General features: G+C 34.8%; 1 protein-coding gene across 14 annotated transcripts in view; it reads left to right on the forward strand.

The window, feature by feature from the left end:
• PARP8 (poly(ADP-ribose) polymerase family member 8) overlaps positions 1 to 26,430 on the forward strand; it is a 180,589-nt gene that overhangs the window by 120,706 nt on the left and 33,453 nt on the right. For all 14 annotated transcript variants that reach the window (NM_001178055.2, XM_047417705.1, XM_011543631.4 and 11 more), the window contains 5 exons: positions 1,887 to 1,953; positions 7,571 to 7,696; positions 8,217 to 8,781; positions 10,346 to 10,396; positions 10,502 to 10,597. In NM_001178055.2, coding sequence (NP_001171526.1) covers positions 1,887 to 1,953; positions 7,571 to 7,696; positions 8,217 to 8,781; positions 10,346 to 10,396; positions 10,502 to 10,597 — 905 coding nt within the window. The remainder of the gene's footprint in view (positions 1 to 1,886; positions 1,954 to 7,570; positions 7,697 to 8,216; positions 8,782 to 10,345; positions 10,397 to 10,501; positions 10,598 to 26,430) is intronic.

A 26,430-nucleotide genomic window follows, 5' to 3' on the forward strand; every position in this document is an offset into this window, starting at 1 on the left:
GGGTTACAGGCATGAGCCACTGTGCCTGGCCTGAAAAACTTCTTTGAATTTGTGTCTAGATAGCAGCACTCTGGAATCTTCCATCCGCTTGGCCATTCCTCCCCAGCCTTCTTTGCTGAGCTGGGCTCGGGGCCTAATCCTCACATTTTCTCTCTCCTCCACCTACATAGACTTACTGAGTGGTTTCTCATTCAGCCTCATGCCTTTATATATATATACTCTGTTCCAAATTTATATCTTTAGTACATTCCTCTCACCTTTAATGCCTAAATGCTGGGCTTCTCCAATTGCCTTCTTAACGTTTCCATTTTAGTATCAAATAAGCATCTTAAATTTAAAGTATTTGGTCAAATAACTAGTCTTATCTGCCTTTTCAAACCTGTGTCTCCTGCAGTCTTTCACATTGTAGGAATTGGTAAATTTCATCCCTCTGGTTGCTCAGACCATAATCTTTGGATTCATCCTTAACTCTTCTTTTTTTTCATACCTCAAATCCAGTCCACCCGCAAAATCTGTCCACTCTCCTAGAAGTGTGAATCCAAAATGTTCATCACCTCCACGGACGAAGTTCTATATATCTTGCTTCACTTGTTGCAATAAGTTCCTGACTGATTTTCCTGTTTTTCCCTTTGCTCTTTGACCAGTTGATCCTGCAGAGCTCACCAGGTTCCTTCCCTGCTCTCATCTCCTGACATGAGACCTTGTTCAGTCCTCTCCCTACACTGTTCTCCAAGCTGTTCCTAGGATATTTCAGCATATTTTCTCTTCAGGGGCTTTGCCTTTGTTCTTTGCTCTGGCTGGGACATTTTTTTCCTGCTTGTTCTTATCTAACATTTAAACCTCAGCCCACATAGCCTGCAGCCCATATATTTTTCCCCATCTTTATTTTTCTCCAGAGCCTTTATTGCCATCTAGCATTGTATCTATTTTTCTATCTGTTTTTCATCTTCCTCCTCTTACTGGACTTCAGACTTCATGGGTGCAGGGATATTCGTGGGTGTGTTTTTACTCTTCCATCTGAAATGACTGGAGCGATGAGTGCAAGAGATACTCTTTAAACCAGTGAATAATGAAAAATGAGCGACTTTTTTGAGAGAAGTTATTAATTTAATTAATATAGTTACTGATTTAAAGAAATATATGTATATATGTATTTTTATATATTTAGTTACCGATTTAAACATATATTTTTATATATTTAGTTACATATTTAGTTTAGTATTTTTATACATTTAGTTACCGATTTAAACATATATATGTTAGTATATATGTATATATGTTATATGTACATACATACATATATATACACACACATATATACACATATATATATACCTGGTAAAAGTACGAACCACGTGAAAAGGAAATCTCCTGTGCCTTCTCATCTCCCATTGTTTTATTCTAAAAATGATGTATGTAGATGCAAACATGTTGTCTTTCTTCCACTTAAAAAATAATGCACTAACTGTCCTACATGTGGCCAGTTCAGCTGTTGCTTACTTTGGAGATCATTCTTTCTTACATTTACATATATTATACATTAATATATAATATATTAATGTATAATATATATTATTATACATTATACTGTATATTATTATACAGTATAATGTATAATGTATACAATATAATGTATTATGTATTATACAATATAATGTATAATGTATACAATATAATGTATAATATATATTATACATTAATGTATAATGACCAATAATCTCCTATGTGCATATAGCATAAATAGCATTGTTTAGGACTGCATGTACACTGTTTTTAAATGTGTATATGTATATGCACATATATAATGCGATTTCAACCTTTTTCTGGCTGATGGTTGAGTTTCAGTTTCAAGTCAATATGTGACTGTGATCCTTTTTCCTTTCCAGTGCCCACTGTTGATGTCTTTCAGATTTCCACAAAAGAGCGATTTGGATTGGGACATCAGCTGAAAAAGTAAGTTTGCTAAAGTGCAAAAAATAAATTTCTGCTAAAGAGAACTGAGTTCTCATTTTGTTCATTAAAACAAACAAACAAAAACCTATTCAGTAAGAACTTTTTGAAGCAAGTCCCTCAAGAGAGGAAATCATCATGATGCTAAGAGCTGCGTTGATAATTTATTAGCAGGGCTCAGTTTTCCACCTGGGCCAGAGTCCTTCTGTTGCTATCCAAGATCCACTCTCTTTCCTCCAGCACCCTGCTCTCTACCTGGGGAGGCTGACCTGTGTGGACACAGGCTCTGAGTCCCTAACATGACCAGTGGAGGCAGGAAGGAGAGTAAGATGGAAGTACTTACTGCTCTGGTTTCCTTCCTAGGAGGTCATCCTGAGCCGACCAGTCCTTCCACTGAAGCCTGCTGCTCTGCTCCAGGCTGCAACGTGTACATGACTTTCTCTCTTACTGGGCTCTATTGAGGGCTTCCACTGCTCATTCCTTGGGGCCCAGAGGTGGTATCAGTTTAGCAGCCACCGGCCCTGGACTCCTGCACTATCCCTAATTGCCATTCCTACCGCTTTGAAACATTGGTTTTTTAACTAAACACTTTATTTCCTGTGTGGACCTTGATTTTGTTTTATGATCTTTAAGTCTATTTTATATAAATATCTATTTTTAAAAAACAGAAAAAGAAAACACTGATAGAGCCAGGATACAATGGCACTAGAAAGAAAAAAAATGCATCTTAGAAGTAAATAGAGAACACTGATAAATTACAGACACAAGAATTGGCTCTCAAATTTTTCTAAAATCAGAAGATCACTGATGTGATCTAAGGCACAGAACTTTGGGACCCACTGGCCTGTGTTTTGGTATGCATCCAGAGGGCTTGTTGTGGTTTTCCCTGAAGAAAATAATGATGCCATCCACATGGTCTCCTTCGCCAGCCTTCCACACAGAGGGAATACAGCTTTCTCTTTGAACATAGAGTCTAGATGAGCCTTGATTTCATACGAAGACATAAAGCCACGCCATTTGAACTGAATTTTAAAATTTAGGCACGTACCTCAGTTCGCCATGGTCAGAATATAAACATTAACTTCTATACTTAATATCAGCTTTAAGAATTTGTGTTTATGGAGAATTCCTAGAGGATTATTCTTCCAAATCTGCAAATTTAGCTTAAATGTAAATTTGTCAAGAAAGACCATTAGATAATTGTATGCTTAAAGCCTGGTTTAGGCCTTTCATAATGATGCAGTCTATATGATCACTTTTATTTTAATGAATTTAAATTTGGCATCATATGTGGGCTTCTACTGAGCAATATTCTAAGGGAAAACATATTGGAACTATATTTGATATATGAAATAGAGAACTTACTGAGGTCATTTTGCCTGATGTAGGAAGCCACATATATGATATCTAGGATTTTGTACGTATTACAGAGCTCTAGAATTTTCTCAAGTTTTTATGACTTAAATTGGGGCAGTACTACTCAAATGTGAGTTGTGTGCCTACCACATTTGAAAGGAAAAAACATTCTTATAAATTCCCAGTGTTGAGTTCAAAGATATGCAAATATAAAATTAGATAATAAACCCTTAATGTTTAGAATTCTGCCTCTCTAAAACTAAATTTAATTTACAATATGTGTTTAGCATATTATATAATGTAGTGTTCTCTTATAAGGACTCACAGGATAAATTTTCTCAGTTTTCCATTCTAGGGTCAGGTATGCTTTCCCAGGACACTTGGTTGTGTTTTTGTGATTGGATTTTGTTTCCTGCATTGTGCCCATATCCTGCGTGTCTTGGAGATGAGCATGGAGCCTGCCTCCATGATGAGCATGGATGGCATTATGCAAGTTGGGTACCATTTCACCTTGACACATTTTTTTTATACTATGATTTTTTTTCCTCACTCAATTTCCTCCCTTGTTTTTATACTGTTCTACTTTGTGTACTTTTGCAAGACACTTACAAACTTTTATTTTTAAGTGGCATGGAGCTGATCAAAATAAGATAAGATTTACAAAAGTACACAGGTCTAGGAATAAATAGCTTTCTACCCTTAGTGGCTTCTGGGTACATTACATAGGCTCAGCAAAAGAAATCATGTATATAATCCCAACTCTGAGAAATTAAAGAAAGCTATGTGCCTTTTTCACTGTTTAAGTACCTAGTAACATATATAACATATTTAATTAATATCCCTATCCGAGTGATTAATGTTTTCAAAGAGTTACTTGCTTTTAGGGATAAATATTAGCTATGTGGAAAGTTTGTTAATATAGATTAGAATTATTTTATGATCCTTGAGAAATTTTGGTCTGATATGTTTGTTTCCCTAATTATAAATAATTAGATTTGGCTATGATCCTTAAGGTCACTGCCAGCCTAAAATCCCATTATTTTAGCAATCTAATTTCATCCTCACAATAATTTATAAAAAGAAACTAAATATAAAGAGGTTATTTTCTTAGAAACATACAGCAAGTTAGGAAGGCAAATTTAGAATCTAGGCCCCTTGTTATCAGTTGGTTTTCAGTAAATAGAAGACACTCTTATTTACTGAATAACTTTTTCACAGGAAAATTTTTTTCTGGTGATTTCAGACAGCAGAATAATTTTATCAACAATAGCAACAGCAAATGCTTATGCAGTACGTATTATATGTCATGCACTATTCTAAGTGTTTAACATATAATAAGACATTTAATCTTTACAACAACTCTATGAAACAGGCCTTGTTACTCTCATATTTCCTAGATGTTGAAACTGAAGCCCAGAGAGGTTGAGCAGCTTGTTCACAGTCACACAGCGAGAAAGTGATAGAGTCAGAATTTGACTCCAAATCAGTACTTACAACGCATAAACTAATCTGCCTCTCATATAATCCTAGATATTCCTTTGCTTGAGATGAGACATGGAATATGTGTTTGGCATTGAATGAATATTGAGAGAATGTGAAGTCAAAATAGCCTAAAAGAAAAAATATTTATGTATTTTCTCATGGCTGACCTGACACAGATATCACAGATATAGTGATTGGTCTTGTATAGGGTATCCTATCATTCAAAGGCTCAGCATATCACAGACAATGGAAATAATCTTCGACTTTTGTATGACTTTATGTTGAGTCTGCACTGATCAAACCTTAGTTGTGTTTAAGGGGGGAAAATATTGCAGATCTTCAGTTTTCCCTTAAATTTATGTGTAACATAAAATTAGGTATAAATTTTTTGTATGTAGAGCTCCACATTTGTAAAACGAAATTCAATTTACAACTTAAAAGTGCGAATCAAAATAAAATACTTGAAATTCAAATTAATACCATTAACTTGGTTTATGATATTATTTTGCTAAAGCTGTTTCACCACCACAATTAGAATATAATACTGACTGCTCTAGTGCATAGTTTTTTGAAATCAACATGTAAAACAGTGTGATGTCATCCCTATGTACTTGCTTTTGTCCACTGCCCTGGAACCTTTGTTCACATAGTTGGCCGTGATATCATCTGCTCTTGACGCGATGCAAATGTATACTTTACCTTGAAATTTTTTTCTTTTTTTCCCTACCATCAGCCAATCACTGGCAATGGTAGTAGTTCCTTTTGGTGCCAGCACAATAGTAAACACAAACTCAAATGTAAATACTGAAGTCCCTTCATGGTTCTCTATTATAAGGAGGTGGTTGTTATACCAAATGTGTTCATATGTATACTCCAGATTACCCCTGAAATTAAACACAACATTGAATGTCTTTTAGAAAACAATTTCTTTTGCATCCAAGGACAACTAGGTACCTGGGTATTCAAGTTTAAGAATTACTGATTTTAGATGTTGAATCACACTTTGAATCCTAATGTAATATATAAGTGGGAAAATTTTTAGCCATTTTGACCTGTTTTTTTTTTTGTTCCTCTTAGCTTATCAAGATTAGGCAAGCACTTGCCGTCTTTCTTAAAGAATGGTGCACAGGAGTAGCAATTTTTTATGGGAAGAAAATCTGCTTAATACAAAGGGTTGTGTCAGTGGAAATTTCAAATTAGGTACAGGGAGAAATGATGATCTTATTATTACATTTAAATCCTGCTGAAATTTTGGGTAAAAAAAAATTCAAACATGAATAAAATGTTTCTCGTGCTGACTGAGCGAATTTACTGTGAATTTGGAATCATGGCATCACTTATTGAAGTTTTATTCCCCTTTTCTCACCACTTCCACTGCTAAAAGGGCCCCAAAATAATTGAGTATGTAACTGTTTATTCTTCTGAATTTATCAAAACTAGCAGAAAAAAGCCTAAGTGATATACTTTCTGGCGATCTGAGTTAGTTTGTTAAGACCTGAAGGATCCTGAGAACTTAGTAACTGGCGTTGTGCTAAGAGTCACATCTGTCCCTTTTGAATAGCATGTGTTATACATATCAAAACCCATATTTGATAATATACGTACTACTACTCTGTCACTTGTATCTATGCTAACTTGGGCAGATTTCGTTCTCTTATTTGTGAAATGTGTGGAATAACAGCTACTTGCTGCGGTACTCTGAAAATTAGAGGCAAAAATGTGCATATAACATTTCTGTTTTACTCTGTGACATATTGTAAGTGGGAAACAAATATTGGTATCATTTTCCTGATCCCAAAGCAATGTGTTAGAAATAACTGAAAAGAGCGTGAAAAACAGACAATCCTGAAGTTATTTTTGAAGAAAAAGAAACACATTTAATTTATTGCATGCTTGATGTTTAATTGTAAAATTTCATGTCTACTTAAGTATTAGTGTTGAGGGCCACTGCCATGTGGAAAATGGAGATACAGAGAAGCCATCCAAGCCAAAGACCTTTCCCAAATAAGAACACTGTGTCCAAGTCCACAGTTGGCATTCCAGAATTCTTTACCATAAAGCACTGATGGAGTGATTTTGACATAGAAAATATCGACATTAGGAGTTACCAACATTCTGCCTTATGATATTAACTAAACAAACTTAAGGATACCCAGTTTTTAAAATTTAGTATAGTATCTTCAAAGGTGAATAGGCTGTGTTGAAGATATAATTTGCTGACCACATATTTCTACGTAGAGCCAGTTCTGCGTGTTTTCTTTTTATGTATGATTTTATAGCTTTGCTTTCCTTTTCATGAAGAAGATATCGAAGCAAGTCAAGTAAAAAGAAAATGGCTTTACTTCTATCTTAATAAATAGCATTATAATTAGTAACAAAAATTTTCTTAAAAGTTGATTTTCTAGCACCAAAAAAAATTTAGATTTTTTTGCCACTTCAGCTCAAGTTGTTGATCCTGAAGGCCGTCTTTATAATTCTCTTTATATCTTTATTCTTCTATCATTTGAATTATCATATCCTGGTAATATTGTAATTTAATTATTTAAATAAATAGTAATCATTATCATTTACTGTGATATAACCAGTCACAGTAAAGCTCTGCTAATTTGCTATATGATGCTTTCCTACATATGAAAAATCTTGTATGATTCTAAATTAGCGTCTCACTGATTTCTATGTGTTTGCATTTATTTGATAAATGCATTTTCTACATAATAAATACAGTAACATTAATTGAAATTGCCTTGGAATGGTGATAACAGAATTACCTTTGGATTGACAGAATCATGCAGACATTTGTTACACAGCAGTGGAAACAGAGCAAAGAAAAATCCAATTGCCTGCACAATAAAAAGTTGTCAGAGAAGAAAGTGAAGTCTCCCCTGCATTTATTTTCTACTTTGCGCAGGTTGGTAACAGGCAACTTCGTCATTGTCTTACTGAATGCTGAGTGTGTGATGTAGTTCATGCTTACAGCATTCTTTCTATAGTGTTGGCATCTGTTTATTTTCTTTATAACCTCTAAGAAAAGACTGAGTTAGATGCATTCCATCAAAAACATATTCATTTCTATGTTTAGAGTTTTTATTAATATTTATTTAACATTGGTTACATTTGCTAAAATTACATTCTTTGCTTTCTAATCACCTAGAGTTTTTCCTACCAAAATTAGTTTCATTATAGGGCTTTGGGATAGATAGGAGGGAAAAAAAATCTTAGAACCTTTTTTTTGCTTTTCAGGAAAAATGGGATTCAAGTCCTGTGATCATTCTGCACATACCTTTGATTTCAGTTTTGACTGGGTAGGCTATATTAAAATGAGGTGGTAGAATATTTATTAGCACAGTCGAGTTTGAGCATGACAAGCTTTCTTCATGGTCTGATGTACCTGTGATTTGCCCTGTAGTAATTGTTGTTCAATTTTGAAGGTCGCCAAGTTATCCTCCCCCTGGTTGTGGCAAAAGCAAATCCAAACTGAAATCTGAGCAGGACGGAATCTCCAAAACGCATAAGCTGCTGCGGAGGACTTGTTCCAGCACAGTCAAGACTGATGATGTGTGTGTCACAAAGTCACACAGGACCTTTGGCCGCTCCTTGTCCAGCGATCCCAGGGCGGAGCAGGCTATGACAGCAATTAAATCGCACAAACTTTTGAACCGTCCTTGCCCTGCAGCTGTTAAGTCAGAGGAATGCCTAACTCTAAAGTCGCATAGACTATTGACTCGATCTTGTTCTGGAGATCCACGATGTGAGCACAACACAAACTTGAAGCCCCATAAACTGTTAAGCAGGTCTTACTCTAGTAATCTCAGAATGGAAGAATTATATGGACTGAAAAATCACAAATTGCTCAGCAAGTCCTACTCCAGTGCCCCCAAGTCATCCAAAACTGAGCTTTTCAAGGAACCTAACGCAGAGGGCAGGAGGCTCTCTCTTACCTCAGGGCTTATTGGTATCCTAACACCATCTTCATCTTCATCTTCTCAGCTTGCTGTGCGTAAATATTTTCATCTTGAGTTCTTAAATGTTAGCTAAGGTGCAGTAGAATTTTTTTTTTCTTATAAGATCTGGTGGAGAAAAGAAGCAAAACTTTGTTTTAATTTACTGTTTTTTTAAAATCTTTTTGGATATTGTTTTGCATCCCATACATTTGCAACTGGCAATGAAATGTAAGCTTTGGTTCTGAAAAAAAATAAATGTAGCTATTCATTTGAAGTCCAGTTCAAATTCTTGTCATAGTAACAAATGCTACTAAAATCAGAAGGAAACGCATTGGATTCACAAAGCCCTTACTTATTAAATAAGCATATAATTTTAATGTTTCATTAAGTAGGTGTATCTAATCTCTGGTCTTCTCACATGAGTGGTGGAGGACCACATTTTTCTTGTGGTTAAATTGAGAATAATTCCCTTTCAATTATATATAAGAGCACTCTGCCCATGCATGTTTTTACCTGTGGAGAGAGGCAACATTTACCACTTTATCCCAGAGCCTCACTTAAAGTTGTTCTTAGTGTCCATTTTATACTGAAGTCACTTTATGCTGTAGCCGTTTTTGGGGGACATGGGACCAGAAGATGACTTCAATAATTTAAGTCCTTTTGATGCTATTTATCAAGAGTAACTCTTACACAAAATTTATCGCTAGCATGATTGGCATGATAGCCAAGTTCATGCTAGTGATAAATTCATAGACCTATCTTATGTATATTATTAACATATTCAAAATAGTTGATGAAAAGTTTTGTTTCCTTTTGCTAAATATATATGTGTGTATGTTGGGGGTGTGTGTTTAGCTCTAACCATTAATGTGTAAACACTCAGCAAGAGATGAAATTGAAAAAAATAAGATGTTTCAGGAAAGTAATGTTATTCTTATATAGGTTTATTTCTAAAATTAAATTATAAACTATACTGTATATTTATTATCTGAAAAGTTGAGTATGTTGACAATTTCACATGAGCATCCTAGAAGCCCATTCCTACTCAAACATACGTTTTAAGGACATAGAGCAAATAATGTAGAACAACTGCACAGTGGAATGTTTCCCATGTTAGCTTCATCCAAGAAAGATCATTTCAGACATTCTGTAAAAGAAAATGCCTTAATAACCTCTGATATGGCTAAGCATAATTCATAGTTTTCTGTTATGACACTTTCAGTAGCTGTCTAATATTTCTTTGGAGGAATAATTGTATCTGATTGTAAAATAAGACTGAAGTCTCCTAATGAAGAGGTATGAGCATTTGCTGATTAGTAACAGACAAATGAGTTTTTGTGATCATGTAAAGATGCCAGTAATTTTTGCTAGAAGATCAGCAGCTAAGAGTGCTGTTCATTTACTGTAGGCAAAAATTGCATTAGTAATGGTAGAAAGGGTATTTATAATAGAGTGAATAAAAAAGTTTTTAATTTTGATGTCATCAGTGACTCAATTCATATTTCATGTGATCTTAAATCACTTTCGTATTCACTATTGCAAAGAGTAAAAGCCTGTAATTTATACATTTTTACATTTAAAAAAATTATCATTTTTTTTTACTTTGCTTTTTATAGCCAAATGGTGCAAAATGCATTCCAGTACGAGACCGTGGCTTCCTGGTGCAGGTATGAGCCAAAACTCTATCCATTGTACAAATATTTTAGTTCTTACGGGGTTTTTAAATCATTTATGAGCTTGTCTTAATTATTTTTCCTTACTGTTTTATTCAGACAATTGAGTTTGCTGAACAGCGGATCCCTGTATTAAATGAATATTGTGTGGTTTGTGATGAGCCACATGTGTTTCAAAATGGCCCTATGCTTAGGGTAAGTTCTTGCTGATAGAATGTCCGTGTTGGTTTAGAATATAGAAATATAGAAAAGATTTGAAATATAAAAATAAGTAAATAAATGCAGTTGAAAGCAAATACTCTTTATTGAGCAAATTATTTACATATAATTTTGACAAAATAGTATTACTTCTAAAGTAGCCTGTGAAAGAGCAGTTAGTTTGATATTAGGAAAATGTTTCTTATTATATTTTTTACATATGTTTATCTAACAGCTATTTATCCATCTACACCTATATCAACGTTAAGCATCTTAAATTGTGGAATTTTGAAGAACCAGTGTTTACAAGGTTATGTGACAAGGATGCTTAGGCAGTGTCCCTTCAAAACTCCACAATTTAAGATGCTGAATATGTGAGAGGAGAGTCTTGATCCTATGCTAGTTAAAAGAGGTACACAGTAGTAGAGAGAGGATCCCAATAAAGATTTCCAAAGATGCTAGCATCCTGACACATTTGGGATATTATCAAAGGAGTATGAAAATAAGAATCAGTGTATACGTGCATTTTGGAGAGAACGATTCAATTTTAAAATGATTTTTTTTGGAATTTTTATTGCTAAAATATAACTTATAAGTCACTACTTAAAGTATACAATTCAGTGGTTTTTCATATATTCACAATATTATATAACCATTACAGCTATTTAATTCCAGAAAATGGAATTTCCATTATCCCCAAAAGAAATATTCTGTTACCAGTCACTCCCAATTTCCGCCTCCTGTCATCCCCTGGCAATTATGAAACTGTTTTCTGTTTCTATGGATTTGGTCATTCTGGATATTTGATATGAATGGAATTGTACAGTATGTGGGCTTTTGTTTCTGACTTCTTTCACTTATTATAATGTTTTCAAGGACCATCCATATAGCATATGTCAGTACTTTTATTTCTTTTTATGGCAGAATAATATACATTTTATGCATATACCACATTTGTTTATCCAGTCATCAGTCGATGGAATTGCTAGAACATATGTTAACTCTGTTTAACTTTTTGAGGAACAGCCAAACCTGTTTCAACAGTGGCTGCATAATTTTACATTTCCACTGGCAATGTATGACAGATACAGTCTCTATACATCTTCCCCACGTATTATTCTCTATTTATTATTATTTTTAATAATTATAGCCATGCTAGTATGTGTGAAGCGGTTTCTATTTTTTTTGTTTTTTTTTTTTTTGAGACAGAGTCTCGCTCTGTCACCCAGGCTGGAGTGCAGTGGCACGATCTCGGCTCACTGCAAGCTCCGCCTTCTGGGTTCATGCCATTCTCCTGCCTCAGCCTCCCTAGTAGCTGGGACTACAGGCACCCGCCACCACGCCCGGCTGATTTTTTGTATTTTTTTAGTAGAGACAGGGTTTCACTGTGTTGGCCAGGATGGTCTCGATCTCCTGACCTTGTGATTCACCAGCCTCGGCCTCCCAAAGTGTTGGAATTACAGGCGTGAACCACCGCGCCTGGCCTGAGCCACCGCACCCGGCCGAAGCAGTTTCTTATTGTGGTTTTCTTATGCACTTCCCTGATGACTGACTAAAAGATACTAAAATATTTTGATTTTCTGCTAAAAAATTTTGAGCATCTTTTCATGTGCTTATTGGCCATTTGCATGTCTTTGGAGAAATGCCTATTTAAATCCTTTTCATATTTTTAAATTGGGTTATTTGTATTCTTATTCATGAGTTGTAAGAGTTCTTTATGTATTCTGAATACTTTATCTTTACCACATATATGATTTGCAATTATTTTCTTCTATTTTGTAGTTTGTCATTTCATTTTTTAAAGGTAATCTTTGACACACACAAGTTTTTAATTTTGATGAAGTCTTATTTATCAATTTTTTCTTTTGTTACTTGTGTTTTTGATGTTGCGTCTAAAAAGTAATTGCCTAATTCAAAGTCACACAGTGCACTTATGTTTCCCTCTAAGAATTTCACGATTTATGTCTTACATTTAAGTCACAATACTTTTTGAGTTAATTTTTGTATATGGTGTTAGGTTGGGGTCCAAAGTCATTCTTTTGCATGTAGATACCCAGTTGTCTCAGCACCATTCTTTGAAAAGACTATTTTTTCTCTACTGAATGATCTTGGCACCCTCGTTGAAAATTATTTGACTATAGATGTTTTGGTTTATTTCTGGACTCTCAAGTCTTTTTCCACTGATCTGCATGTCTGTCCTTAGGCCAGTACCACATTGTCTTGATTAATGTTGCTTTATAGTAAGTTTGAAATCAAGAGGCAGAAATCCTTTGTTTGTGTTTTATAAGATTGCATTGACTGTTTGGGGTCTCTTGCGTTTCTCTATCAGTTCTGTGGTTCATTTGTCCATTTCTGCAAAAAGGCAGTTGGAATTTTGATAGGGTTGCATTGGAATTGTAAATCGGTTTGAAGACTGTTGCCATTGGCTATAGACTGGATGTGTTCCTCCCAGAATTCATACATTGAAATCCTAACTCCCATGTGATGGTGTTAGGAGATGGGTTGTTTGGAAGGCGATTAGGTCATGAGGGTGGTGCCCTCATGAACAGGAATAGTGCCTTTGTAATAGAGCACAAAGAGCTCTCTCACTCCTCTACCATGAAAGGACACAGCAAGAAGATCAATTTGTGGCCTTACTGTCACTCTGGTCTATGAATCAGCAGATGGGCCCTCATCAGGCACTGAATCTCCTGACATCTTTATCTTCCCAGCCTTCAAAACTGTGAGAAATAAATATTTGTTGTTATAAGCCACCCAGCCTATGGTATTCGATTACAGCAGCCGGAATAGACCAAGACATCATCTTAACAATATTAACCTTTCCAATTCATGTACACCAGATCATTTTATTTATTTAGGCTTTTAAAATTTTATTTCAATGCTATTTTGTAGTTTTCAGCATTCAAGTCTTACACTTCCTTGGATAAGTTTGTTTTTAAGCATTTTATTATTTTTGATGTTACTGTAAATTAAGTTGCTTTATTCCATTTTCAGAACGTTCTTTGCTATTATATAGAAATAGAAGTTATTTTTGCATGTTAATCTTTTATACTGCAACATTGCTGAACTTATTTGTTAGCTCTATTAAGTTATTTTTGGATTCTTTGTTTCTCTATATAAAATTATGTCTCTTGCAAATAGAGTTTCACTTTTTCCTTGTTAATCAGGATGCCTTTTATTACTTTTCCTTATCTAATGTGCTTGACTAGAACTTCAATACAAGACTGATTAGAAGTGGCAAGAAAAGAAATTTTTATCTTGTGATTTAGGGGGAAAATGTTCAGCCTTTCACTGTTTGTTGGGGATTTTTCATAGATGCCACTTACCAGGTTGAGAAAAATCCCCTTCTAGTCCTAGTTGTTAGGTGGTTTTATAATCATGAAAGCATTTTTGTTGGTTTTTGTTTTTCTATGTCTCTTGATATTACTATGTTTTTCTTTTATGCTATTAATATGATGTATTACACTGATTTTTTGATATGCACTAACAACTATCTGGGCCTGGAGATTTCTGTTTTAGATTTTTTTTTTTTTTTTTGAAACAGGGGTCTTACTCTGTCACTCATGTTGGAGTGCAGTGGTGCAAACATGGCTCACTGCAACCTCAACCTTCTGGGCTTAAGTGATCCTCCCACCTCAGCCTCCTGAGTAGCTGGGACTACAGGTACATGCCACCATGCCCAGCTAATTTTTAAAATTTTTTGTAGAAATGGGGTGTCACCATGTTGCCAAGGCTGGTCTTGAACTCCTGGGCTCAAGGAATCCTCCTGCCTTAGCCTCTCAAAGTGTTAGGATTACAGGTGTGAGCCATCACACCTGGTGAAAAATTTTTAATTTATGAATTCAATTTCTTTATTAGTTATAGGGCTATCCAAATTATATATATATATATTTTTGAGATGGAGTTTTGCTTTTGTTGCCCTGGCATGATCTCGGCTCACTGCAACCTCTGCCTCCCGGGTTCAAGTGATTCTCCTGCCTCAGCCTCCGAGTAGCTGGGATTACAGGCATGCACCACCACACCCGGCTAATTTTGTGTTTTTATTAGAGACGGGGTTTCTTCGTGTTGGTCAGTCTGGTCTCAAACTCCTGACCTCAGGTGATCCGCCCACCTCGGCCTTCCAAAGTGATGGGATTACAGGCGTGAGCCACCATGCTAGGCCTCAAATTATCTATTTTATTTTGGGTGAAATGTGATAGTTTGTGCTTTTAGAGGAATTGGTCCGTTTTGTCTCAGATGTCAAATTTATGTGAGTAATTTATTAGTATTCTCTTATTATCCTTTTGATGTCTGCAGAGTTTTAGTGATACTCTTTGTTTCATTCCTGATGTTGAACATTTGTATCATCTCTCTGTCAGTCCTGCTACAGGCTTGTGGATTTTAGTTACCTTTTCAAAGAACAGATTCTTCATTTCATTGAATTTCTCTATTTTCTCTTTCAAATTCATTTATTCTTTGTTACCATTATGAAAGTGGGGGTATTGAAGGCTCTGACTATTATTGTTGAATTGTTTTTACCTTCAGTTCTTTCAATATTTGATTCATGTATTTTGGGAAATCTGTTGCTGGATACGTATATGTTTATAAGTGTTTTATCTTCTTGATGTTCTGACTCTTTTTTCATGTTCTTCTTTGTCTGTAATAGCAATTTTTGTCTTCAAGTCTATTTTGTCTGATTAGTGTAACCACTGCAGCTCTCTATTGGTTATTATTTGCATGGAATATCTTTTTTCATGCTTATGTTTTTATCCTATTAATGTCTTTAAAACTAAAGTGAATCTCTTGTTGATAGCAAATTGTTGATCTTGGTTTTAAATCCTTGCTAATCTTTTTACTTAAACATAATTACTAATAAGGAAAGACTTCTGCTATTTTGCAATTCATTTTCTATTTGTATTATGTCTATTTTGTTCCTCTGCTTCTCCCTTACTGCCTTCTTTTGTGTGTTTAATAGGCATTTTCTAGTGTACCATTTTAATTCCCATGTTGTAGCTTTTCAGTTTGTTTTCTTAGTGATTGCTCTAGGGATTACAATTAACATTCTAATTTCTAAAAATCTAGTTTGGATTAATACCAACTTGATTTTTTTTTAATAAGAGACAGATCTTGCTCTGTCCTCTAGACCGGAGTACAGTGGTGCTGATCATAGCTCACTGAAGCCTCCAACTTCTGGGCTTAAGTGATCTTCCTGCTTGCATCACCCTCGCAAGTAACCAGGACTGCAGGCACAAGCCACTATGCCTGGCTAATCTTTAAAAAAGTTTTTTGTAGAGATGGGGTTTCACTATGTTGAGCAGGCTAGTCTTGAAGTCCTGGCCTCAAATGATTCTCCCTTCTCCCGAAGTACTGAGATTATAGGCATGAGCCACTGTACCCAGCCTTAATAATATATAAAAACTTTGCTCCTACATAGTTTCAACTCCACTCCCAGAGTGGAAGTACGTGTAATTGCTGTTATATATAAATATGTAAGTTATATCTTTATATTATGTGCCCATCAACATAAATTTATGATTATTGCTTTACGCAGTTGTTTTCCAAACCAGAAAAAATCAGGAAAAAAAATCAAAGTCAAATGTATCAATGTATTATATCTATGTTTAAAATTTAAAAATATATATATTTGTGTGCAGTCCTTTGTATTTACCTGTATGCATGTTTACCTTTACCCAAGCTCTTTATCTCTTTATGTGGACTATGTAGTGTCCTTTCCATTTTAATCTGAAGAACTCCCTTCATTAATTCCTGTGGGAAATCTCTGCAAATGATGAACTCTGTTGGTTTTTACCTGGGAGTGTTTTAATTTCTCCTTTATTGTTTGAAGGATAGTTATGCTGGGTATAGAATTCATGGTTGGAAATTTCTGTGTGTGATGGAGGAGGATTTGTGCCGTTTTCAGCATTTTGAGTATGTCATCCTGCTGCCTTTGGGTATTTGTGGTTTCCCATGAAAAATGACCTGTTTTCTTGTTGAGGATTCCTTGTTATGTGATGAATTGCTTCTCTCGCTGATTTCGAGATTTCTTCTTTGTCTTTGGTTTTTGGCGTCTGGATTTTGATGTGTCTAAGTGCCTCTTTAAATTTATCCTATTTGGAGTTAATTGGGTTTCTTGGAAGTGTAGATTAATTTTTTTCTAATGAATTTGAGATGTTTTAAGCCATATATATTCAAGTATTCCTCTTGCAATTTTTCTCTCCTCTTTCCTTCTGGAATTTCCATTATCTGTATGTTTGTATGCTTGATGGTACCCCATAGATCTCTTACACTTTGTTCATTTTTTTCATTTTATTATTCTTCCTCTTCCTTAGATTAGTTAATCTCAATGGACCTATCTTCAAGTTCACTGATTCTTTTTTCTGCCTGCTCAAATCTGATTTTTTATTTCAGTAATTGTACTTTTCAACTCCAGAGTTTATTTTTATAAATTCTATAAATTGATACTCTCTGTTGACATTGTCTTTTCTTCATTTATTTAGATATGATATTCTTTAGCTCTTGAACGTTTTAAGTATAGCCAGTTTAAAGTTTGTGTCTAGTAAATTTAACATCTATGCTTTCCTTGGGCCCCTTCCTATTAGTTGCTTTTTACCCTGTGAATAGGTCTTACTTTCTTATTTCTTCGCATGCCTTTTTTATTTTTTTATTGAAAACTGGACATTTTAAATACAATAATGCTGGAACTCTGGGATTTAGATCTCGCCAAACTGTTTTGGCAGTCCTTAGCCTTCATTCCTGCTTGTACAGAGTGGTAAGATCAGCCAGAGGTGAGATTTAAGGCCTTCTAAAGTCTTTCTTGAGCATGCACACAGTCATGGGCAAGCACATGGCCTTCTGGATTTCCAGAAATATATGTGAGTTTTTCATAGTCCTTATGGACATCTCTTTTCCCAATCCTTTCTTCTAAGCTTTTTGATTATTCTGTTGTTTGCCTCAGTTGTTATCTGTTGCCTCACACAACTAAAACGCTTACTGTAAATGTTTTCAATCCCCACTCCAGGTAATGGTTTAGTACTGGGTGAGTTCCAAGTCAGGCAGAAATAAAGACAAGTGTTTTCAGCGTGTCTTCCAGAGAACTATCAGACAGCTATTTGTGAATCAGTTCCGTTCTGCTCCCTCTATTATTGGAAATACAGGGCATTGTTTTTAAGGCTGCCACTGAGCTGGCGAATGGAAGATTGGATTAGGGTAAATTTAACCCTTTTCCCATTTGCCCCAACAATACTTGCCAGTAGCACTTGCGGCTACAGTGTTTACCCGGAGATAACTTTGCCATGAAATCTGTCGCTTATATTATTATTTCTGCATGGCTCTAGTATATCTACTTTGGAAACAAAATACATCATTCTACTTATAGCATTTTGGTTTTAGTAGTGGTATTTCCATTTACAAAATATAGTAGTAATTCCTGATCACTGAACTTGTCAAATCCTAGAAAATACAGCATTTGTACGCGTAATGTTAACATTGTTCTAGAACAGCGGTTGACTGAAGATTCATTTGATGAATCTGATTTTTCAGAAATAGAGGATTCTAATGATTCAGACGATTCTGATGTTAGTTCTGTTTAGAAATAGCTCCGAGAACAGTTTTTATATTTTATTTTCACATTGATTGAAAATCAGATTTGCTTCAGCCTCAAAGAGTGCGTTTACGTAGAGTTAAATAAGTGCTGACAACAAGCTGCAGCTTTTCTTTTTTTTTTCCAAAATGGAAAGAAGGTTAAATGTCACAAGTTTTACGGTTCTTACCAAGATTCAGCTGTTGATTCTGAGTAAGTACTCCTTGGGTTGCTGCAAGTTTTAAAATTAATTTCCAGAATACCAAAAGAGTTGACTCAGGCCATTTTTGCCAGTTTCTTTTAAAGATTTTATAGAGAGGTGGAAGTTTGGGTTCCTCACTCAGCTTTTTTGCTGATATCATTCCTTATTTCAAAGTTTTAAACAAGCAAGTTCATTGTACCATATCTGCATAGTATTCAAGGTCCAGCTTTTGAGTTAAGAAATAATAAAATATAGATAAATATGAAAATAATGATTGAGCTAATATCTATCATAGTTAACAGAAGAAAGGAGGTTATTGAGGGTTGTGTGCCAGGCACTGTGGGTAGATATTTGGCCTATTATTTTTTTATTTGATCATCACACAACTCTTGTGGTTTAGGTACTTTTGCTTTCATGCTGCAAATAGGGAGACTAAGATTTATAGAGGTTAAGCAGTTTGTTCAACACCACCCGGAAAATATAGGTAGAAGTTTGGCTTTGAACCTAATTCTCTCTGACTTTAAAACTGCATCACAAACATTTAATTTAATATTTGATAAGTAGAAGGCACCATGCTAGATTCTGTTACACTTTTTAAAAGAAACCTGTCTTGCCTTTTGGAATATATGTTTGAAAAGATAAAACACAAAACTTGGAAAGCAATAATTTTATTAGACCTTTTTTGTATTTCAAGATTTATACTTTTAAAAAACATGTCTTGTAGCCATTTAAGAACACAATCATCTGTCAGATATTTTATTTTATTTGCTTAAGGGAAACAATCCGTGTACTATTTTTTTGCCAGTCAACTTTTCTCTCAGAGATATGTTATTCTGAAACCAAAATCAACTAAATCAGCATTTAATTATGAAATAACTGCAATTTTGTCATTTCCATTTGTTACAGAGAAATGTGTCCTTATGAGAATAGGGGGATTTCTCTGGTCATCTCAACCTGCCCCACTTAGATGCTATGTTTTCACTTTGTCAGTACTCACCTGTTGATATTGATCTATTGCTTGTTCCATAGCATTGCCATTTCTACCACAAAAGATAATAGTAATGTTATCAAAAGTAAATGCTTTTTGCATGTTTTCTTTGTGATCTGGGTATTCACAGTTCTTTATGTGGATTTTCAAGTGTAATCCTCTTAATAACTCTCTGAGGTATATATTATTACTATTCTCACTTTATGGTGAGAAAAATAGTAATTTGTTCAGTGTTACTGTGCTAGTAAGTAATAGAGATAGGATTCTAATACTGACAGAATGGCACCAGGCAGAGGTTCCTACTCTTGACTTGTGGACTTGAATTGACTACATTTATGTTCTGGAAATGTACCACACACATTGTTGGGAGTTCACTGTTTGTGGTTTAATTGTGGGCAATTCATTCCTATAGTAAGTAGTGGAAATACTAGTTACTATTAGTATTCTTGGTGTCTCACTCCAAATTTTGTTTGACTTTATCTATATCTGCAACAATAAATATTGCTATATTTTTCTAAAAGTGGCTGTGCTTTTTTATAAGCAAGAGAGAAAACATTTTCTAAATAAATACGGATGATTATCAGATGGTTTATTGTTGCTGTGATGCAGACTGATACCTAAGGAAATCAGAAAACGTTCTTAAATAGTAAGATAAGTGACATAGGAAATCAGATGAGGAAATGAAAATTAAAGAAACTTTTCATGTTGAAAGGAAGAGAGATAGACACAGGAAGAACTATCTCTTGGTTCTGTGAAACAGATATTTTACCTAAGTTGGTCCCACTAATTTTTTTCTATATCTTACTTGTATTTACATTGCAATATATTTTGCTGTAAATTCAAGAGTAATGTATAAAAATAATATATAATTTCTTATGGGATATTAACCAATTAACTGATTCATTGACCATTATTGAGCCCATCTGACACATTACAGTCTGTAGTAAGTCTCAGAGACATAAAGAGTGTAAGTTATAGCCCACTGGTGATTAAACAGGTTAAATAAAACTCAGGTTTCTATAGAATTCTATGCCTATTCTATTTTATTACATTTGCATTTGTTAGATCTCGCTTTCCAAAGTTAGACTGTCCCATGTTTTTTTTTTTCTTTAAGCCTGATTGTTTTTTGATGACATAAATCCTCTTTAACCTTTATTCTCCAAAAGTCCTAAAATTTTAGTCACTGCTTTTATACTATCTGTCACTCCATTCAGAGGTCTAGGTTAGCATGTCGCACTCTCTGCAATACAGGGAACTAAACTACTTACTTACTTAGAAACTCCCTGCTGCTCCTTCTTCGCTTTTGTTTACAAAAATTATAAATGTCACTCTCAGATTTGAGTCCTGACACATAACATTTTGCATCTGCGTAACGCTCACATTAACATCCCAAGAATTGTTCAGGAAGTCCTGGATTTTCAATTTAAAAGTGTCATTTATACTCTCATCACAAAACCAAACCAAAACCAAATGCATAGTTCTCTCCATTGTGGAATCAACTAGAGTGTTAATGCAGCAAATTGTTTTAGAGATGGTTTTTAAATGTAGTTTGTGTCTTCAGGTTGTTTTTGAAAAACAATAAAACAAGGACTTATTGTCAGAAATGCCAGTTTTATCAGCCTCTAAATTCCTAATGCCCTTTTCTGTTATACTCACCTTAATCACCTCAATCGTGGATTGGTATAATGGTGTGAACTGCTGAACTCTGCTAGAGAAAACCATGTGGTTATGTGAATAACAGTTCCTGCAAAGCTGGGCTTCTGTCTTTGATACTTGGCAATCGTTCTATGTGTCCTTGACTAATAGACTTTCTCATTTCCCACATCAACATGTGATATGAGAATTATGATCTCATTCTCTTCTCCTGTCATGTGAAATGTCCTGGGTTACTTGCTCTGAGTGGTTTGACAAGGCATGAGATTCCAGTCTGCTGATTCCCAAATATGTTTGCACATGTCTGTCACCCACTTAGAGTAATGCTCATTCTTACTGAAGCAAAGCCAACTGAGAAACCTGAGAATCTATATTTTTGTGTATCCGGCATTAAGCAGATGTTTGTAACTAAGGTTCTTATTTTCCAAGTGAAATTAAGAACACCCAGTTATAATTTGGTCCAGTTTTAGGTGTTAACCAAAAAATGACTGAGGCAGGTCTCAGTCGATAAAGATTTATTTAGCCACGGTTGAGGATGGGAGATCCAGGGAGATCAAAAATGCGTCTGTGACCCTTTTCCAAAAGGGATTTTGGGAACTTCAGTATTTAAAGGGGAAAGAGCAAGCAGGAGGGAAGAAGAGGAAGGGCAGGCAGTGAGGCAAATGGTTACATTCTTATGAGGTTCTGATTAGCCTCAGTAAATCTACATTTTATATGTGAAAAGAGGGAGTAGAGGAAAAAGTTACGTATTAATCACAGGGTAGGCACAAGGATGTCTCTGGTCTTGGTCCTTGCTCTCGCCCTGTGAAGATAAGCTAATAATTGACATTGTCAGGATGAGATTCAGCAGAACTTGGTTTTAGGGCTAGTTTACAGTGGGTATGTCTCCTGAAAGATTTAGGGGCTTCAAGGAATTTCCTTGTGAGGGAGGCCATCTGGGGAGATGTGTGACCTTCTATTGTTGTGGAAACCTGTCTCATGGGTGAGGCTATGACACGGAGCTGTGAAATTACAGCTATCCGTTTGGGAACAAAAGGAAAGCAGTATGGCCTGACTCAGTTCCCAAACTTAACTTTCCCTTTGGCATAGTGAGTTTGGGAGTCCCAAGATTTGATTCTGTTTTCTTTCACAAAGACATTCCCATGAAAATTGATGAGAAACTGAGCATGAGGATAAACCTAGGTATGTCCCATTTTACCTTCTAAGAGTAAAACGGGTAGGTCTGCTTGTATTTAGACCTGACTTTAATATTTGAAGAATGGATGAAAAAGCACAACCTATTAAAACCCTCCCCTAACCTTCAACATGGAAGTTCAGATATCAACTTCTGAAATACTAACTAAAATAATAATTATGCCAAAAAACTTTTAGTTCAAAAACATGGTTTAAAAAAAAATCCAAACTGAATAGAAATTAGTTTTAATACTCAAATAACATCTTTAGTTTTATGAGACAAATAGAGACTACTGCATGTTTAAGCCTAATTAGACCTGATCCTGTATCTTACTGTGGATCTGCCTTAATTGCTGTGGGATTCTCTCTCTCTCAATGAACGGTACACCTTTCCTCACCCTGAATGTGTGTCTTGACCACAAACAGAACCCAAAGCATTGACTATAAAACTGTAAATACAGAGAATTAAAGGCTTCTAAGTTTGTAGTTCTAGAAGATATTCATATAATTATTCTTGCATTTTTTCAATACCAGTTTTTAAATAGGAATTTATATTTACTCTGCTTATTTCATTTTTAGTAAGAAAAATCACGGCAATAGTTTTAAACAGTGGATATACAAATCAAAATGCTACTTCATAATATGCTTCAAAGAAAACTATTTTTTATTAAATACTTATCTTTGTATACACATTGAGTTAAGGCAGTAGAGCTAGCTTCTCCAGGTTCCCTTATATTAATACTTAAACAGCTTTCCATACCTCAAGGATATTTTTTAAACCTTATCTCACTTGGTATTTTTATCAACTTGAGAGCTAGATATTATTTTTATTCCCATTTTATAGATAGGAAAAATGAGCTGTACACATGTGCTCCAACAGGAATAAGCTCCACTTTTATCTGTTTTGTATATTGGACTTATGTGAAATATTTTGTTGAAACAAAAAGACCATGGCAAAAATATTTGAAAACCACTCATCTACACCATGCTTTTGTTGAAACAAAAAGACCATGGCAAAAATATTTGAAAACCACTCATCTACACCATGCTTTTCTCTACATAAATACATAGCTAGATTCTTAGAGTTGTATTATTTCTATTACCAGTAGAGGGTAATTTAAATTCATGGAAAACATAAATTTCTTAAAATACAATTAGGTTCTAAAATATTCTTCAGGGCTTAATACATTTTTTGAAACATGTTTTTGTTGATCACATTTAAATTGCTTTGATTCAAATAACGTTAAAAATGTTTTCATTTTAGTTGAAAACTTCTAAAATATATCTTATTTTAGGGACATATATAAATACATTCCTCATGCTTTTAAATCGTGCCTAATGAATATTTTATAGCAAATATGTACGTGTTGATAATAGAGGGACTTGCTATGGTTTTACAATCTAAATTAGAGTGGTTAATTGCTTCCAGGCAATATAATATAATATTAAGAATAGGTAGTATTTTACAAATTGGGACTAATAGTCTTTTTGTGAACTCAGAATGAATTAATAAGTAATATAACATTTGGTTTTATTTAGGCATACATACTTTGTATTAAATTATGTACAATAAAACATGGCAATACACTTAACTGGTAATAGCTCTTAAAATGACTATGTGCGTTTTGAATTGATGCTAGCACATTCTGTGTAAATAACATAGTCATAGAATTTGTCAGGGTGGAGGATTGGGTGGGAATAGGATAAGGCTAGCCCACAATATAACTACTTGTGTGTCTTTAAGGGAGTGATTCAGTTTCTCTTCCTTGAATAAGATGTTCCTTCTGTGAGCGAGAGAGACATCTAATCACTTAATGTAATTTGAGAACTTTCTTTTAGTGCAGTATCTTGTGTTAACACTTTGAACTTCTCGGAAATAAAGTGTGAATAAACAAGGAAAAGGGAGAATTACTACTCTACAAAAAATAAATATACAAACACCTCAAAACTAAAGTCATTTACGTCTTACATCTTAAATACTACTTGAACCTTCTAGTAAAAATGAGCAAGAGATACAGAATCATTATTTTAAGAATTTACTAGCATTTACTTAGTATGGTGTATGGTATATAAATTAATCACATTATGACGTTTGTAGTTGCTGTGTTAAAAAGGAAAGATAAAATTATTTTTATAAGAACGTATTCCTTACTTTTACTTCTCGTTTTTTAGTATGATGGCAAAGTGTTTTGGTTTTTGTTTCCAAAAAGCAGATTTTCTAGGGTGCCTGATTTCTGTCTGATTTCCTTCTTCAAACTATTGGAGTAGCAGAATATACCTAGAAATCTGCCTTATTCACTTGAGTATGGAAGAGGGTTACTTTTAAACCAAAAACATACAGGAAAGAAAAGTGTTTCCATAAAGTAATCAAATCATAGCTTCATCCTGAGGAATGCAGGTGTTTTATTTAAAATAATGAGTCAGTTGACAAGTCAATAAAGTTGATTTAGAACTTTCAAGATTGGAATATAAACAGACCAGGGTTGGGGGGCACTGAAACAGAAATGCAGAAAAAGGCTTTATAATAAGCACTGAAATTTTGCTTGTTTGTTATTCGTGATAGGAAATAGAGAGGTCTCGGTGAAATTGCCAAAAATCATTTGCGACAAAGTCAGAATGACACATGAATACCTAGGATTGGTGACAAAGTGTGTTGATAGAGATTTATAATAACTGTGTCTATCGCATTTTTCCTTTTCTTTGAAATTTTTCCTGGATTGAAAATTACCTGAAATTTCAATCTCGCGTAGTAAGATATTTTATTTCATTTTATTTCCATTGGGTGTTTTTTTTTTATTCTTTAAGTTCTAGAGTACATGTGCACGAAGTGCAGGTTTGTTACCTATGTATACATGTGCCATGTTGGTTTGCTGCACCCATTAACTCATCATCTACATTAGGTATATCTCCTAATGCTATCCCTCCCCCATCCTCCACCCTGCAACAAGCCCTGGTGTGTGATGTTCCCCACCCTGTGTCCAAGTGTTCTCATTGTTCAATTCCCACCTATGAGTGAGAACACGCGGTGTTTGGTTTTCTGTCTTTGCGATAGTTTGCTCAGAATGATGATTTCCAGCTTCATCCATGTTGCTACAAAGGACATGAACTCATCCTTTTTTATGGCTGCATAGTATTCCATGGTGTATATGTGTCACGTTTTCTTAATCCAGTCTGTCATTGATGGACATTTGGGTTGGTTCCAAGTCTTTGCTATTGTGAATAGTGCTGCAATAAACATACATGTGCATGTGTCTTTAGAGTCGCATGATTTATAATCCTTTGGGTATATGCCCAGTAATGGGATCGCTGAGTCAAATGGTATTTCCAGTTCCATCCAGATCCTTGAGGAATCGCCACACTGTCTTCCACAGTGGTTAAACTAGTTTACACTCCCACCAACAGAGTAAAAACATTCCAGTTTCTTCACATCCTCTCCAGCACCTGTTGTTTCCTGACTTTTTAATGATCGCCATTCCAACTGGTGTGAGATGGTATCTCATTGTGGTTTTGATTTGCATTTCTCTGATGACCAGTGATGATGAGCATTTTTTCATGTGTCTGTTGGCTGCATAAATGTCTTCTTTTGAGAAGTGTCTGTTCGTATCCTTCGCCCACTTTTTGTTGGGGTTGTTTGATTTTTTCTTGTAAGTTTGTTTAAGTTCTTTGTAGATTCTGGATATTAGCCCTTTGTCAGATGGGTAGATTGCAAAAATTTTCTCCCATTCTGTAGGTTACTTGTTCACTCTGATGGTAGTTTCTTTTGCTGTGCAGAAGCTCTTTAGTTTAATTAGATCCCATTTGTCAATTTTGGCTTTTGTTGCCATTGCTTTTGGTGTTTTAGACATGAAGTCCTTGCCCATGCCTATGTCCTGAATGGTATTGCCTAGGTTTTCTTCTAGGGTTTTTATGGTTTTAGGTGTAGCATTTAAGTCTTTAATCCATCTTGAATTAATTTTTGTATAAGGTGTAAGGAAGGGATCCAGTTTCAGCTTTCTAAATATGGCTAGCCAGTTTTCCCAGCACCATTTATTAAATAAGGAATCCTTTCCCTATTTCTTGTTTTTGTCAGGTTTGTCAAAGATCAGATGGTTGTAGATGTGTGGTATTATTTCTGAGGGCTCTGTTCTGTTCCATTGGTCTATATCTCTGTTTTGGTACCAGTACCATGCTGTTTTGGTTACTGTAGCCTTGTAGTATAGTTTGAAGTCAGGTAGCATGATGCCTCCAGCTTGTTCTTTTAGCTTAGGATTGTCTTA

This window comes from Homo sapiens, chromosome 5 (assembly GCF_000001405.40).
Source record: "Homo sapiens chromosome 5, GRCh38.p14 Primary Assembly".
In the NCBI taxonomy this organism is placed as follows: domain Eukaryota; kingdom Metazoa; phylum Chordata; class Mammalia; order Primates; family Hominidae; genus Homo; species Homo sapiens.